Source organism: Homo sapiens, chromosome 13, assembly GCF_000001405.40.
Source record: "Homo sapiens chromosome 13, GRCh38.p14 Primary Assembly".
In the NCBI taxonomy this organism is placed as follows: Eukaryota; Metazoa; Chordata; class Mammalia; order Primates; family Hominidae; genus Homo; species Homo sapiens.
The window spans coordinates 51,824,713-51,838,308 of record NC_000013.11 but is presented as its reverse complement, the minus strand read 5'-3'; the positions used below and the strand labels follow the sequence as shown (position 1 = coordinate 51,838,308).

General features: G+C 47.0%; 1 protein-coding gene across 7 annotated transcripts in view; it reads left to right on the top strand.

Annotated features, from left to right (window-relative positions):
* The window catches only part of TMEM272 (transmembrane protein 272), a 121,020-nt gene that overhangs the window by 96,058 nt on the left and 11,366 nt on the right, over nt 1-13,596 (top strand). For 6 of the 7 annotated variants that reach the window (XM_047430278.1, XM_047430280.1, XM_047430279.1 and 3 more), the window contains one exon: nt 11,684-11,743. The exons of the other annotated variant lie outside the window; for it this stretch is intronic. In XM_047430278.1, the coding sequence (XP_047286234.1) occupies nt 11,684-11,743 (60 nt within the window). The remainder of the gene's footprint in view (nt 1-11,683; nt 11,744-13,596) is intronic. 7 annotated transcript variants of the gene reach the window in all.

The window sequence follows — 13,596 nt, the reverse complement described above, 5'->3', positions numbered from 1 at the left end:
GCTTTCTCCTTCCATTCCTTACCAATTCATCTTTAGTTTTCCATAGTTCACTGTATGTGTTTTCCATGTAATATGTGTTTGAAAAATATGCATGTGAACGGAGTCACTGCTACAATCAGTGTATGATGGCAGCCGTGCTGGGCAACACGGCAGGGCAATGTGACACCTTGGACCTGGGTAGCTTTCCCTTACTCCTACCTCAACCTGTCTCCTTACTAAATTGGATATTCCCCCACTATCACCTGCTGGGGTCCTTTCTGTCCAGAGGGGCTGGACCATATTACAGAAGACCCAGTCTGTCTTGTGTTTGGAATATCCCAAAATCAGATCCCAGGCCTTGGGGGTCCCTGGGATGAAAGCTTTTACATCATGGTGAGATGTATGGTCTAACTTTTACAGATGAAATGTGGATAAAGGGAACATTGTGGGAAGCCTTAAGCAACTCATCTCCAGGCACTAATATCAGGAAGCTGCAGTCAGTGGGTAGTGGCGGACTAAGGTGGAGGGTCAGCAGAACAAGGGGCTGACAGATGGGTGCCTGGGCACCTTTCCTTACCTGTACTTACCATGTCCTAGCACACACTGTCCACCTCCCACTTCTCCTCCCATGACGTTTCCTGCACTGCTGCATGCCAGCACCTCCAGCAGTGCCTGACACACAGTAGGAGCTCAATAAATAGGCACTGGCTGACTAAGCAGGTAAATGAGTGAAGAGCCACCTCCCAGATACAACTGACCTTCTCCATTCGCTGATGGGCCCAGTGCCCATCTCATTCTCCTAACGCACAGCCCTGACATTTTACTCCCAGGGACAGCTCTAAGGGCCACCCTCCTTTCATCCCTGGAGCACACCTACTGCTGTGAGGGCCAGAGTGGGACAGTGGTGCTGGAGTCTCTGCCCAGGGCCTCTGATGCTCTGGCAGGATGAAAACTCATAGGTTTACTGCCGGCAGGGAAAGGAGACACCATCAGCTATATTGTTGCTCTACATCTTCGGGAAATTAGTTACCACCACCTCCCCCAACACACATCCTACCTGTTTATGCAACAGAAGTGCTGATGGCAACACCAGGTTGGCAAGAGAGGAAGTATCATGCTCAGGGTTTCCCAGAAAAAGGGATGTTTCCTGGCTGCACTGTAAATCTGCAGGTCAAGGTCTAGGCCAACCTTGGCCTAATGATGGCCTCCTTGATTGTTGAGATTTCTGCCCTTGTTGTATGAATAACTCCGTCTTCAGCCAGCACAATGGCAAGGCCTCCTAAGTGTTCTTGCTGCCTCTTGCCCATCCCCTCAGCACCTCCTCTGGGGAGGTCCTTCACTGCACAGTGACTCCCCATTCCTGCAGAATAAAACAGAAGCGTTTGCTCTCTTGTGAAACCCTTTGTGATTGAGTCCCCGTTTACCTCTTGAATCACTCTTTCTTCTTCCCTTCTCACTCTGGAAAATCCAGCCAGACAAAAACATTTTAGGTTTCCTAGGAACACCAGCTTCTGTTTTCCCCCTGGGCCTTCCAACATGTGTTTCTTTGCCTAGACTTCTACTTCCTCCCACCTGCCCCCTCAGATAAAGGTTGGATCAGGCAAGAATCATCAATAGACACTAAATCTAAGAGGAAATTTTGATGACAAGCAGTACTTGGTTGCAAGGGAGGAATAAAATAGTAATCATACAGTGGAGAAAGTGGGCCACACTTTGGGGTTTAAAGTGAACATTACCAGTGAGGGACAGGTGGCCGTCACCTATGCAGTAATCCAGCCAAGAATGCACAGCCTTTGTCCAAACACAAGGGAACATCTGTCAAATACAAGGTGAAGAATGTTCTACTAAAAAACAGCAGAGAGGACTGTATTCTTCAAAAATGTCAACATCCTAGAAAACAAAACAAAAAGGGCTGATGAGAATGTTCTAGATTTGAGGGAGGTCTCTTAATCCACTTTGTGCTGCTATAACAGAATACCACAGACTAGGTAGTTTATAACAAACAGAAACTTGTTGGCTTATCATTCTGGAAGCTGTGAAGTCCAAGAATGAGAGGCCGGCAGCTGGGGAGGGCCTTCTTGTGTCATCCCATGGAGGAAGGCAGCACGTGGGGGAGAGAAAAAGGGCTGAACTCCCCCTTTTATAATGAACCCACTCCAGTGATGACATGAACTCATTTACTCTGCTCCCAGGGCCTGATCACCTCTCATTTAAGCTCCACTTCCCAACACGTTTGCATTGGGGATTGAGTTTCCAACACATGAACTTTGGGGGACACATTCAAACCATAGCAGGCAGAGGAGACATGACAACAAATGCAATACTTCAGCCTAGACTGGACCCAAAGGCTTTATTAGGTCATCAACATTGGAATATGGATGGCAGATTAAAATATTGTATCAATGTAAATTTAAGAAGCTGCGACTGTACTAAGGTACTATATTAATAAGAGAATATCCCCAGGAAATGCACACTGGGATTATTTCCAACTAAAAAATTTAAAAACTTAAAAAGCATGCAGAGGGAAACCTGAGTGGCAAGTATCTGAATGTTTGCTCTATTACTCTTTGTATTTGTTTGAATGTTTGAGAATTTTCATAATTAATATGTCTTTTAGAATTTAGGCTGGGAAAAATTGGCCTCCTTGGCCTGATCCCAGACCTGATAAAATAGTACATAGATGCAAATGCATATACTGTAGTGTTTTCCTTTCAAATGACTTCTAAATTTACTTCTTTCTGGTTTTCTACATTTTCCACATTTCCTATAAAGCTACATATTTATGTAATTAGAAAATAAAAGTTTTGGCCGGGTGCAGTGGCTCACGCCTGTAATCCCAGCACTTTGGGAGACCGAGGCGAGCAGATCACGACGTCAAGAGATCGAGACCATCCTGCAACATGGTGAAACCCCGTCTCTAGCAAAAATACAAAAAAAATTAGCTGGGTGTGGTGGTGCACGACTGTATTCCCAGCTACTCGGGAGGCTGGGGCAGGAGAATCGCTTGAACCCGGTAGGTGGAGGTTGCAGTGAGCCGAGATTGCACCACTGCACACTCTAGCCTGGTGACAGAGTGAGACTCCGTCTCAAAAAAAAAAAAAGAAAGAAAATAAAAGTTTTATTTTTATTTTATGTTTTAAGAACAATCTTCAGATATCCCCCTTAGATTGGTTGGTGCTGTCCCTATCCACATGTGGAGCTGCTAAGTGGTGGCGGCCTCAGAGGAGTAGCTTGTTTATCTGGGCGTTCATCCAGGGAGTAGGGTGGTCTCCGTGCTCTCAGATCCCAGCAAGCCACTTGGGGGAGCTTTCTGGAGCTCTCCTGGGCCACTGTGCAGCCCTGGCTCCCAGCCTCCCCATCTGGCACTCTCTCTGTCAAGCTCTCTGCTGCAGAACATTTGCTTCCCTGCAGCCTGCTGCCACCCTGGAGGATCGCTTTCATCCCTGGGCAGCAGTGAAATCTTGATGAATACATGTGCAGCGTGTGCAGGGCTCTAGCCCTCATAGGATAACTCAATGAAACGGACAAGTGCAGTGAACCCAGGCTGTTGCACCTGTCAGGGGGTCCTGGGAAGTCCCCTTCAACTCCACTTGGAGACAGCAGCAGAGAAGGGCCCAGCAAAGTCCATGTTCAAGGGGGACACCAGGAGAAAGACCTTCTGCTCAGGCCTGGGTGAAGGAACCGTGACTCTAGGTGGTGTTTGCAGCCCCTCAGCTGTGAGAGAAATTTACACAACTCAACATACTAAACAGAGAGTGGTAGATTTTATTCTACAATTCTGGCCAGGAGAAATAGCACATTAATTTATTTTTAATGTACTTTTAAAACTTCAAAACTTCTTCCTCTTTAATAAAATTAATTTGACTCTGAGCTCCTACTTGCCAGAGTACCAGGAACATCAACCCTGGGCTTTGTGGGTCACACGAGAATTCAAGTATGGGAGTTGGAGAGGAGGAATCACGTTTTCCTCTTTTGGGGGTCTGGGGCAGGGTGTGCTCCTGCTCTGTGGTAAGCCATTATTTCCTCTACACACCCTTTGTGCAATGTTTAAAAGGTGGCCCCCGGCAGTGGTAGCTTCCAGGACACAGTTTAGTAGTAGACGGTGCTTTTATTGGAAGAAAAGTGCGCCCCTCTTCCAAGCGAGAGGATTTCCAACCTTCACTCAGCCCTGTAGCCTCACACAGGCCCTCTCTTCTCTGCACAAACTGCACAGCAGCACGCTCTGTCCTTGCTATCAGGTCAGCACCGGTGTCAAGCTTGAGATGTCGGGGTCTTTACGAGCCTGGGGACCTGGTGCCGCCTCCCTAGGTGCTTCTAGTAGCAATTCCTTTTGGACACTGCAGGGAAGGGGCCACCAACCCAAGGTTCCACCCTCAGCAGCCCCCTCTTCATTGCTCCTCCTCTTTGGGGGACTCCCCTGCATCCCTTTTTATTGGGACAATCCCATAGAATTGCTCTTGGTGGGCTTCAAGAAGCACAAGGTTGCCCTCTCTTTTCAGGGATCAGAGAAAGAGATGGCAACATCAGTATTGTGGAAGGGTCCAATATTTCTTACTAACTCGTCCTGTTACATGAACAACTGAAAATCTCAAAAGCAGGCAGTGGAGGTGGTTTTAGAAACCCATACTCCAGTTCATTCCCCTGGCACATTAAATGCAGTGAATTCTGAACCGAATACATCCTTTCCCTAAAGCCCCTCCTCTTTCTGTCCCTCACATTTCCGTCAGTGCCTCCACCATTCTTGTCACCCGAGCACTGCACTTCAGTCATTCTTTACTCCTTTCTTCCCTTCATTCCCACACCTAATGGGTGCTCAAGGCGCTGCTGGAGCCTCACAATTGCTCTCCAGGCTGAGTTATGAAACAGCCACTTCGCTGGTCTCTTCACTCCGAGAGCCACCCCCTTTAGTCCTCATTTTCTCCAAAGGTTCAGCTTTGATTATTATTTGATGATATTATTGATGATTATTTGATAGCTGCTTTCCAATTGCAAACCCTACAACTCTCTTTATCTTCCTAATAAAATCCAGATACCCTTATGCAAAACAGAAATGCCCTCTCTTCTGACTATCTAGTTTCCATCTGATCTCCTTTTCTCTGTTATGATGGATGATGGACGCTCAGCTCCATTTCATGATTTGCCACTCCCCCAAACCACTCTGAGTGTCTCTGTCTCTCAAATCTTTTGTTTCCTCTGGGCTTTTTTCCTTTGACAGAAAAGCCATCTCCCCACAACTCAGCCCGTCAAAAATCCTACCCATCCATCAACACCCAGTACCAATATCACCTCCTCCTTGAGGCCTTCCTTGATTTCCTGGGGACTCTTTCCTCCTCCAGGCTTCCTCACTGCATTGTGCGCTGCCCCTGCTGGTCCCTTCCACACACTGATTTGTACTGTCCCTTGGGTGCACATCTCATCTCCCTTAAGAGGTGGTGAAGTCCGCATTGCCGAGGCTTCTCATGCTCACTTTGCATCTACCCAAACCTTGGTCGAATGCAAGAATGAATAGCTGAATATCTATAAAGAAGTTCATCTATATTCAAAGGGGATTAAGTGCTAATAAAAATACCCCCTCATGCAAATTGCTATTGGCTGTGACCTCTGGGGATTAGTGGGTGGCTGTGGCAATGCAGGGTGCTTGTGCAGGGCTGGAGAAGAGGGGTGGGTGGAAACGAGGCAGAGGCAGAATGACTGAACATACCAGGAGAGGGCAGAAGTGGTTTGGGTGACTGGGGTTTGGGCACCATTACAGATACAGGGAGGTGGAAAGGGCAGTTTGGAAAGAGGAGTTTAGTTTGAGTTTCTCTTCCTGCACTCTTTGCCAGTTGCCTTCTGGGTATTTGATAGCTCAGTGGAGCCCCGAAGGATGGTGTTGCAGAGAAAAACTGCTGGGTCCCAGTCTCAGTTTCTGCACTAAACTAAGCAAAAGATCTGGGGATATATTAATACTTGCTATTCATAGGAAACAGACTCCGGAGATCCTTGAGAACAGACCAAAAGCTACCCACTTTTCCTATCAAGATTACCCATTTAAAAATGCATTGAATTCTCCCAGCTACCTATTTTGACTGATAACCGGATGGCAGCGTATCTTTAACACCTGCTACCATGCTGCTCCCTCTGACAATCACGGGCAGCAGCAATCAGCAGTCGTGAGAGCAGCCCACCCTGAAATGCACTGCAAGAGGGGAGTGAGGATCCAGAGCCAGCAACCCAAAAGCCACCCTGAGGAGGGCACCCTTCCCAATAGTCTGTCTTTTCCCAACCTTCAGTAAGTCAGGAATCAGCCTATCTGTGTTCTTAGCATAAAGAATGACTTGACTCCAACGTTTTGATTCTAATATCCTCCCACTATTGCTCTAATTTTGAATTATTTTCTCCTTTGGACCCTCAAGCTGAGTTTATTTTCACCCAGCTCTTTCAAACTGACTTTCTAGATGGAGACTCTCATGGCATCAGAAGCCAGAATGTGGCACTCTGAGTTGCATTGGAATTGGTGCTCAATAGACCAGAAGGCAGGACAGTATTAACTAGTGGTGGTCACTGCTGTCAAGCCGCTGCAATCGCAACAGCGGCATCACCAGGAAGCTCAGCCTCTGTTCCAGAGAGCTCCAAAGACTGAGGAGTGGGTAACCAGATGCCCCAGGAGGCAGGGGGATCAGGCGAGAGTGGGGCTCCCCAATTCCTGACTGTGGCTTGGGTGTCCTTATTAGGACCAAGTGGTAAAGAAGGCCTCGTGCTGGTAACTGCTGATGATTTCCATCCCAGTGGATCCTACAACCTAGCCCAACCCCAGCACCTCACACCATGCTGAGCAGACAGCTGTAGGAAGCCCCTGAAGATTCTCTAGCCAGCTTACAGAAACAGGCTACGATCACCTGAGAGTTGCTTTTATTTTATTTTATTTAGATGAGGTCTTGCACTGTTGCCCAGGCTGGAGTGCAGAGGCGGGATTATGGTTCACTACAGACTTGAACTCCTGGGTTCAAGCGATCCTTCCATCTCAGCCAGCCTCCCCAGTAGCTGGGACCACAGGTGCACCACCACGCCTGGCTAATTTTTGTGTTTTTTGTAGAGACGGGGTTTTGCCATGTTGCCCAGGTGGGTTTCAAACTTCTGGGCTCAAGAGATCCACCTGCTTCAGCCTTCCAAAATGCCGGAAATACAGGTGTGAGCAACCATGCCAGGGTGGAAGTTGCTTTTAAATGCAGATTTCCAGGCGCCATTTGTACTGATCCTGGTTTGTGAGATCTAGAGCGGCCATTGAGACCCTGAGAGTCATGGCTCTGAGGTGCAGCGAGCAAGAGTGAGCCTCATTAGACTTCGAGCAAGAGTGAGCCTCATTAGACTTTAAGCAAGAGTGAGCCTCATTCGACCTCGAGCAAGAGTGAGCCTCATTAGACCTCGAGCAAGAGTGAGCCTCATTAGATCTCAAGCAAGAGTGAGCCTCTTTAGACCTAGAGTGGTGATCCAGAGAAGCGGACTCACTGGATGAAGCCAGGGCACAGCCTGAGAACAGGGCCAGGGAGTAAGGCCGCATCCACTTGGGAGTTAAGGTGTAGAACAGTCTCATCTCTGCTCAGACACCATGAGAACCACAGTGTATACCTCACCTGTTGTTTTCTCGATTCTTCATTTGATTCCGAAGTGGGGGCTGAAATAAAGGGGAAGCCTGGGTCTCCTTCCATCAGGAATGGAAAATAATAATAGTAATGATAATGGCCAGCATTTATCGGTGTTTATTATGTGCCAGACCCTGCGTTTAGTGCCCTACACAGATTATGCAGATTATGACATTTGATGATTTTGACAAGTCTGTTAGGAAAGTCTTGTAATCGTGCCCATGTTTGCAATGAGGACATTGAAACCTCAGAGGTTAAGAGTCCTGCAGTCCATGCTGCAGGTAATGAGGAGCGGAGTGGGCTGTGACTCAGGTGGCTTGGTTGCATGGCTGCAGGTGGTGAGTCTTTACAGCCTCCTCCAGGTAGTCATTAAGAATGTTCTGGCCCTGGCCATCTCTCTCAGCCCTGCTGGGAGGTAGTGAAGAGGAGGTAACATTTTACCTCTCCACTCTTAGGGCTTTTCAGCTGGGCCTGAGAATTAAACTCACATAAGACAGATTAACAGGAGAAAAGCACACTAATTTAGTGCAAGTTTTACATGACACAAGAGCCTTCATAAGAAGTGGAAACCCAAAGAAATAGCAAAACCCAAATGCTTTTGTACGTGGCTGAACAAAGAGAGGTAATTGCAGAAAAGGAACCAAACTGTGTGGGGAGGCTAAGGGAAGATAAGAGTGATTTTGACAAGATCTGTTTGTACAGAATTCTCTTGGTCTCAATGTCCCATCCTTGATGATAAGAATGGTGCTTTCCTTTGGTATAGGGAGGACATCCTCTATGTGGGGCTTTTGTTTCCCACTTTTAAGAAGGAAAAGGGGAGGGTCAGAGTACCCTTCTTCCATCTGCTATTTTTTAAGTGCCTTTAGCTCCAAATAACCCTTATGCCACAGCTGCAGAGTTTGGGGTGGCATATTCTGCCACCCTTCAGTAGGAAGCTTGGGTGGCAGGTGCCTCCTTGGGGACTGCTCCATTTCTTTGTGTCACTCACTGCCTGGATTATATATGTGGCCAGGTGGCACCATCTGCCTCAAGCTTGCAGCACAGGGAAGGATTTTTCAGGATGCCGATCACTTTTTTTCATCCTTGTAACAAGCTCCAAGGTCAAAAATGCAGAATAGGATTCATCGACCCCTTGAATTTCTATCCTTTGCCAGCAAGAAATTTCTTCCTTGACCGCCACTCTAAGTTGAGAATTAAAACAAATGTGGCTAGATTAACTGAAATTCTCTCTAATTCACCACACCTGCCAGCAGCACTGTGTCACTCATGACCAGCAGGGCCCCGGAGCAAAACAAAAATGCAAAGCACCTTGTTCAAAAAGCAGGAAAGAAGCACTGTTCAAGGGACTAAAATATAAAAAGCTTTTTCCTTTCTTCTGCAGTCTCTCTTTTGGCCTTTTTATTTGCTGTTTAATATCATTTTTAAGTAGGGGAAATCAAAATGTGTAATTATTAGTATATATTTTACCGTTCATCTTAATATTGCATAATGTCAGTTTTAAATGCAACTCTAAGAGCATTTAACTCATATGTTGAGTCACTGAAATGACACAACTTGTGTTTAATAGCTCTCATACACATTTTGTTTTTATCGGAACATTGGAAACATTGTACAAAACTAACAAGTCTTCATTTTGCTTCTTGATATGGGTGTATTCTACCCACATTCTCCACCTTCTGCTCACAGATAGGTGAGGAAGTTGTGAGAGGACAAGGTATACTAATTTAGGGGTCAGAAAGGGGTTGGTGGAGTTCCTTCGTTGTTCCTGTTTCTTAGAACATCATTGCCTTCTGTCTGCATCTGAAGCAAGTTCTGGTTCAAATGGAAGTAAATCTTTTCAGGACTGTCAGCCCCCTGCTTACTCAGTTGAAGACACAACACGCTTTCCTCATATTGGCCCTGAGTCTTGCGGAGTAAATGTGAATATTGGCGGTAAAGGGCAGCAGACATGAGCATTTCACAGGCTCCCTCTGCTCACACATATTCCTCACTGTCCTGTCCAACTTCACTTACAATACACGATTTCGAGAGAAATTTATTTAGAATTTCAAGATGGCAACAGAAGAGCGTCAAACCAGATGCTTGGGGCCGTTAAGTTGCACGCCTTTGAAGCTGGCTCTGGTGATAGCATTATATACAACTCAGGGGTGGTCTGAGGGGAGGAGTGGAAATTGGGGCAAATCACTCTGCATGCCTGCCCCCATCAACATTTCCTGGAGGTGAAGGTCAAGGTGGGCATGGAGGGCAACTTCTCGGGTCTCTTTGAGAGAGGGGCAGCACCCTGCCCTGTGCACCCTACCCGCTGTGGGTAGCAAGATCAGAGCTGGCGTTTGGTGGTGTGCACGTGAGGCTCCCAGCCAGAGGCACTTGCAGCCTTAGAGCTCTTCTCTAGAGAAGACAGATTCCCAGATAAATCCTAGATCTTTGACAATTCAAAACCACAAAGGACCTTGCAGATTAAGCCAGGTACAGTGGGCTCTGTATAAATACAGAAAGCCCAACTCAAGCTGGCTAAAGTAATAAAGGGGATTTATTGGCTCCTATAAATGGCAAGTCCAGAAGTAGTTTAGCATCAAGGGTGGTGTGATTCCATGGGTGATGAATGTCTCTGAGGACCCAGTTTCTTTTTACCTCTTCTCTTGCCTCTCAGGGCGTTGTTCTCATTCGCAGGCTGGCTTCCCCTCATGATGGCAAGAAGGCTGCCAGCCACCCCCAGAGTAATTCAATTCCTCACCAGTGGCCAGGGAGGGAGAAACCTTGTTTCTGGAAGTTCTGTCAGCAGAGCGAGAAAGCTTTTTCCTGACTCTCAGTAAATCTCCCAATATAAGTCATGAGCCCATCCACTAATAACGTATCTGGTAAGTGGGGCTCTGCTGGTTAATTGAGGGTGAAACTTCATGCCCTTTTCTATGGCCAGGGTGGGATCAGCTTCTGCCAGAGCACATAAACGGCACAGCAGAATGGGGAGGTAGGGAGGTGGGGGTACCCGAAAATAATTAAGGTGATGACCTAGAGAGGAAGGAGTAGATGCTACAGAAGCTACCATGAGGTTCACTCAGAGATCCTCTGCTCTCAGCATGACAACAGGACTCAGCAGAAAGCACAGATGTGTGATGCTGTCAAGACTCTGACAGTGGGAACTGGGGGGCAGGCCTACCCAAGAGGCATTCAAATTCACACTTTCAAAAAAAAATGCTGGCCAAGCAAAACCTATATCTGCAGATATATCTGCCGATCTGGAGAACAGATGAGGAAACCAAGAAGCAAAGCAGGGAAGTAATTGCCTAATCACAAAAGTTGCCATACCCTGAGGTCCTTGTGCATACATCTGTCACCACCTTTTACAGAAGAGGAAAACGGCTTCCGGATGTCAACGAATTTGCCCAAAGCCACATGGCCAGTGAGTGACAGGGCCAGGATTTGGACCCAAGCCTGTGTAGCCCCCATTCCTCTGTTCTTTCCCAATGTCTAAAAGTTGGATTGGTGGCATTAACAGAAAGAAAAACCCCAAGCCAGTTCAAAGCTCTATTATACTGTGTGTCAGCAAGAAGTTTTAGGAGCCCATCTAATGTCATGGGCTGTGGAATATATAACCAAGTGAATGGAAAGGGAAGAAGATTTTGTGAAGCAAATACTTTCAGTGATAAAGTGAGTTGTCAGTGAATTTTATCCAGGGAAGAGAAGAACCATCTGCCCTGAGTACAGGCACCCAGGAAGCACAGGGTGAATCCTGCCTGGCTCAGTGGATGCCGGCAGCTTCTGGCATCCTGGCACGGGCACAGTGGCAGTTTATAAACTCCTTTTCCATAAGCTGTCAGACTTGGAGAGGTCCTGCAGGATATCTGGGCCTTGGCATCGGCAAAGTGATCACGAGAGATGTTCAGCTCTCTGAGAAGTGCAAGTCTTGGCTTGCATCCACTGTGTGGGAGCCCCAGGCGAGCTGCGACCTTCTCCTCCTGTCTGCTGACTTGCCACTGGAGAGAAAGTCAGGTTTCACAGGATGCTTAAGAAACTGCAGTGAAGAGGAAATGCAGGGGTCTGTGTGTTTCTAACCCAGTGCCTGCCCCTTCTTCTCCTTGCAGCCTGCTTCGTTGTTGTGCTCTGTGCTTTCCTGGCTCTGCCGCTGTCCATGACCTTCATAGGTAAGCTGCCTTCCGAGCTGCTGGACGCCACAGGTCAGCCAGGTTGGGGCATGGACCCAAGGCATGTAATCTTTAAACATTAAATATGTGTTTAAGAAGAACTGGCCAGCCCGATGATTCCCAGACACCTATGTGCCATCTCAGAATGACTTGGTGAAGATTTAAAAAATACACATTCCTGGGCCCCGCCCTGGGAGATATCAGTGCAGTATATCTGGGTGGGGACAGACACTCTCTTTTAGAAATCTGTCCCCAGATGATTCTGATCCCTCCAGCCCAAGTTTGGAAGTGACTGGGCTAGAGGTTTCCCAAAGTCCCTTCCCAGTTCCTATGTTCCCTTGTGGAAGCAGGTTGCAAGCAATACAAAAAATGCACCTGGCGTTAGGTGATGTATGGGCACTCTATACATTTTTTTTTTTTTTTTTTTGCTGAATGAATGAGTAAATATTTCCATAAATCACGTATATTAAACAACCTCATAATCCAGAAGTGTGAGGTCTAGCGAAGGTCAGGGGAGGGGCAGGATGGGGGAAGCTCCTTAAGTAGCTAAAAATTGTTATCACGTGTCAGTGAAATTAATCTCATGCTCCTGAACATTGCTAATGGGAGCCCTGTGTACAGGACCTAGCTACCCCTATTTACCTAGAAGCCCAGCATGGCTGGGCATGGTGGCTCACGCCTGTAATCCCAGCAGTTAGTGGGGCTGAGGCGGGCCGATTGCTTGAGCCCAGGAGTTTGAGACTAGCCTGGGCAACATAGTGAGACCTTGTCTCTACCAAAAAATGCAAGTCTTGACTTAAAAATTAGCTGGGTGTGGTTGCGTGTGCCTGTAGTCCCAGCTACTCGGGGGACTGAGGTGGGATGATCGTGCCACTATACCTCCAGCCTGGGCAACAGGACTGAGACCCTGTCTCCAAAAAAAAAAAAAAACACAAAAACAAAAAAGAAGCAGCTCAGCAGGCCCAGTGTTCTAGGTCCAAGCTCACAGCATATTGGAGCAGAAAGTAAAAGAGCATAGGAGTTGTTGCAAAACAGCAACAACGAAACACCCAGTACCCTAATTGCTTAATGGGTAGGAGCCTTCCTTTTGAGGTGATGAAAATGTTTTCGAACTAGATGGAGGTGGTAGTTGCACAACACTGTGAATCCACTAAATGCCACTGAATTATTCACTTTAGAATGGTTTCTTTTGTTATGTAAGTTTCACCCTGCCACCCCTGCTAAAGCCACAATACTAAAAATGGAAACAAAAACAGTATCCTTAGATCTGTAAGACATGAAAGCTAACAGCCTGACAGGAAATAAAAAAGAAGATAAGATTTTAAGGTTTGCAGAGAACTGAAACAGCCAAGTAGTCTGGGGCCATTTAGTGTAAGAGTGAACAATTCAATCACTTCAGCAGGCCCTGGTGCTGTGATTATTACAGTGCAATTCAAAAATTAACACTTATTATATGGCTCTGTTCTTCCAAGAAGAGTTCACAAGATGTTAGGCATGCCCTGCTTATGAAGTCGGGGGTACTCTCCAGAGGGCATTCTATGCAAAATCTGTAAGGTAAGAGAACCCTAGCCTTTGGACCCTGTGGTTAGTTACCTTTCTTTTTGCTTTCTTTTGAGACAGGGTCTCACTCTGTCGCCCAGGCCGGAGTGCAGTGGAGCGATCTCGGCTCACCGCACCCTCTGCCTACCCGGCTCAAGTGATTCTTGTGCCTCAGCCTCCTTAGTAGCTGGGATTACAGGCGCCCACCACCATGCCTGGCTAATTTATATATTTTTAGTAGAGACAGGGTTTCACCACGTTGGCCAGGCTGGTCTTGAACTCCTGACCTCAAGTGATCTGCCCGCCTCGGCCTC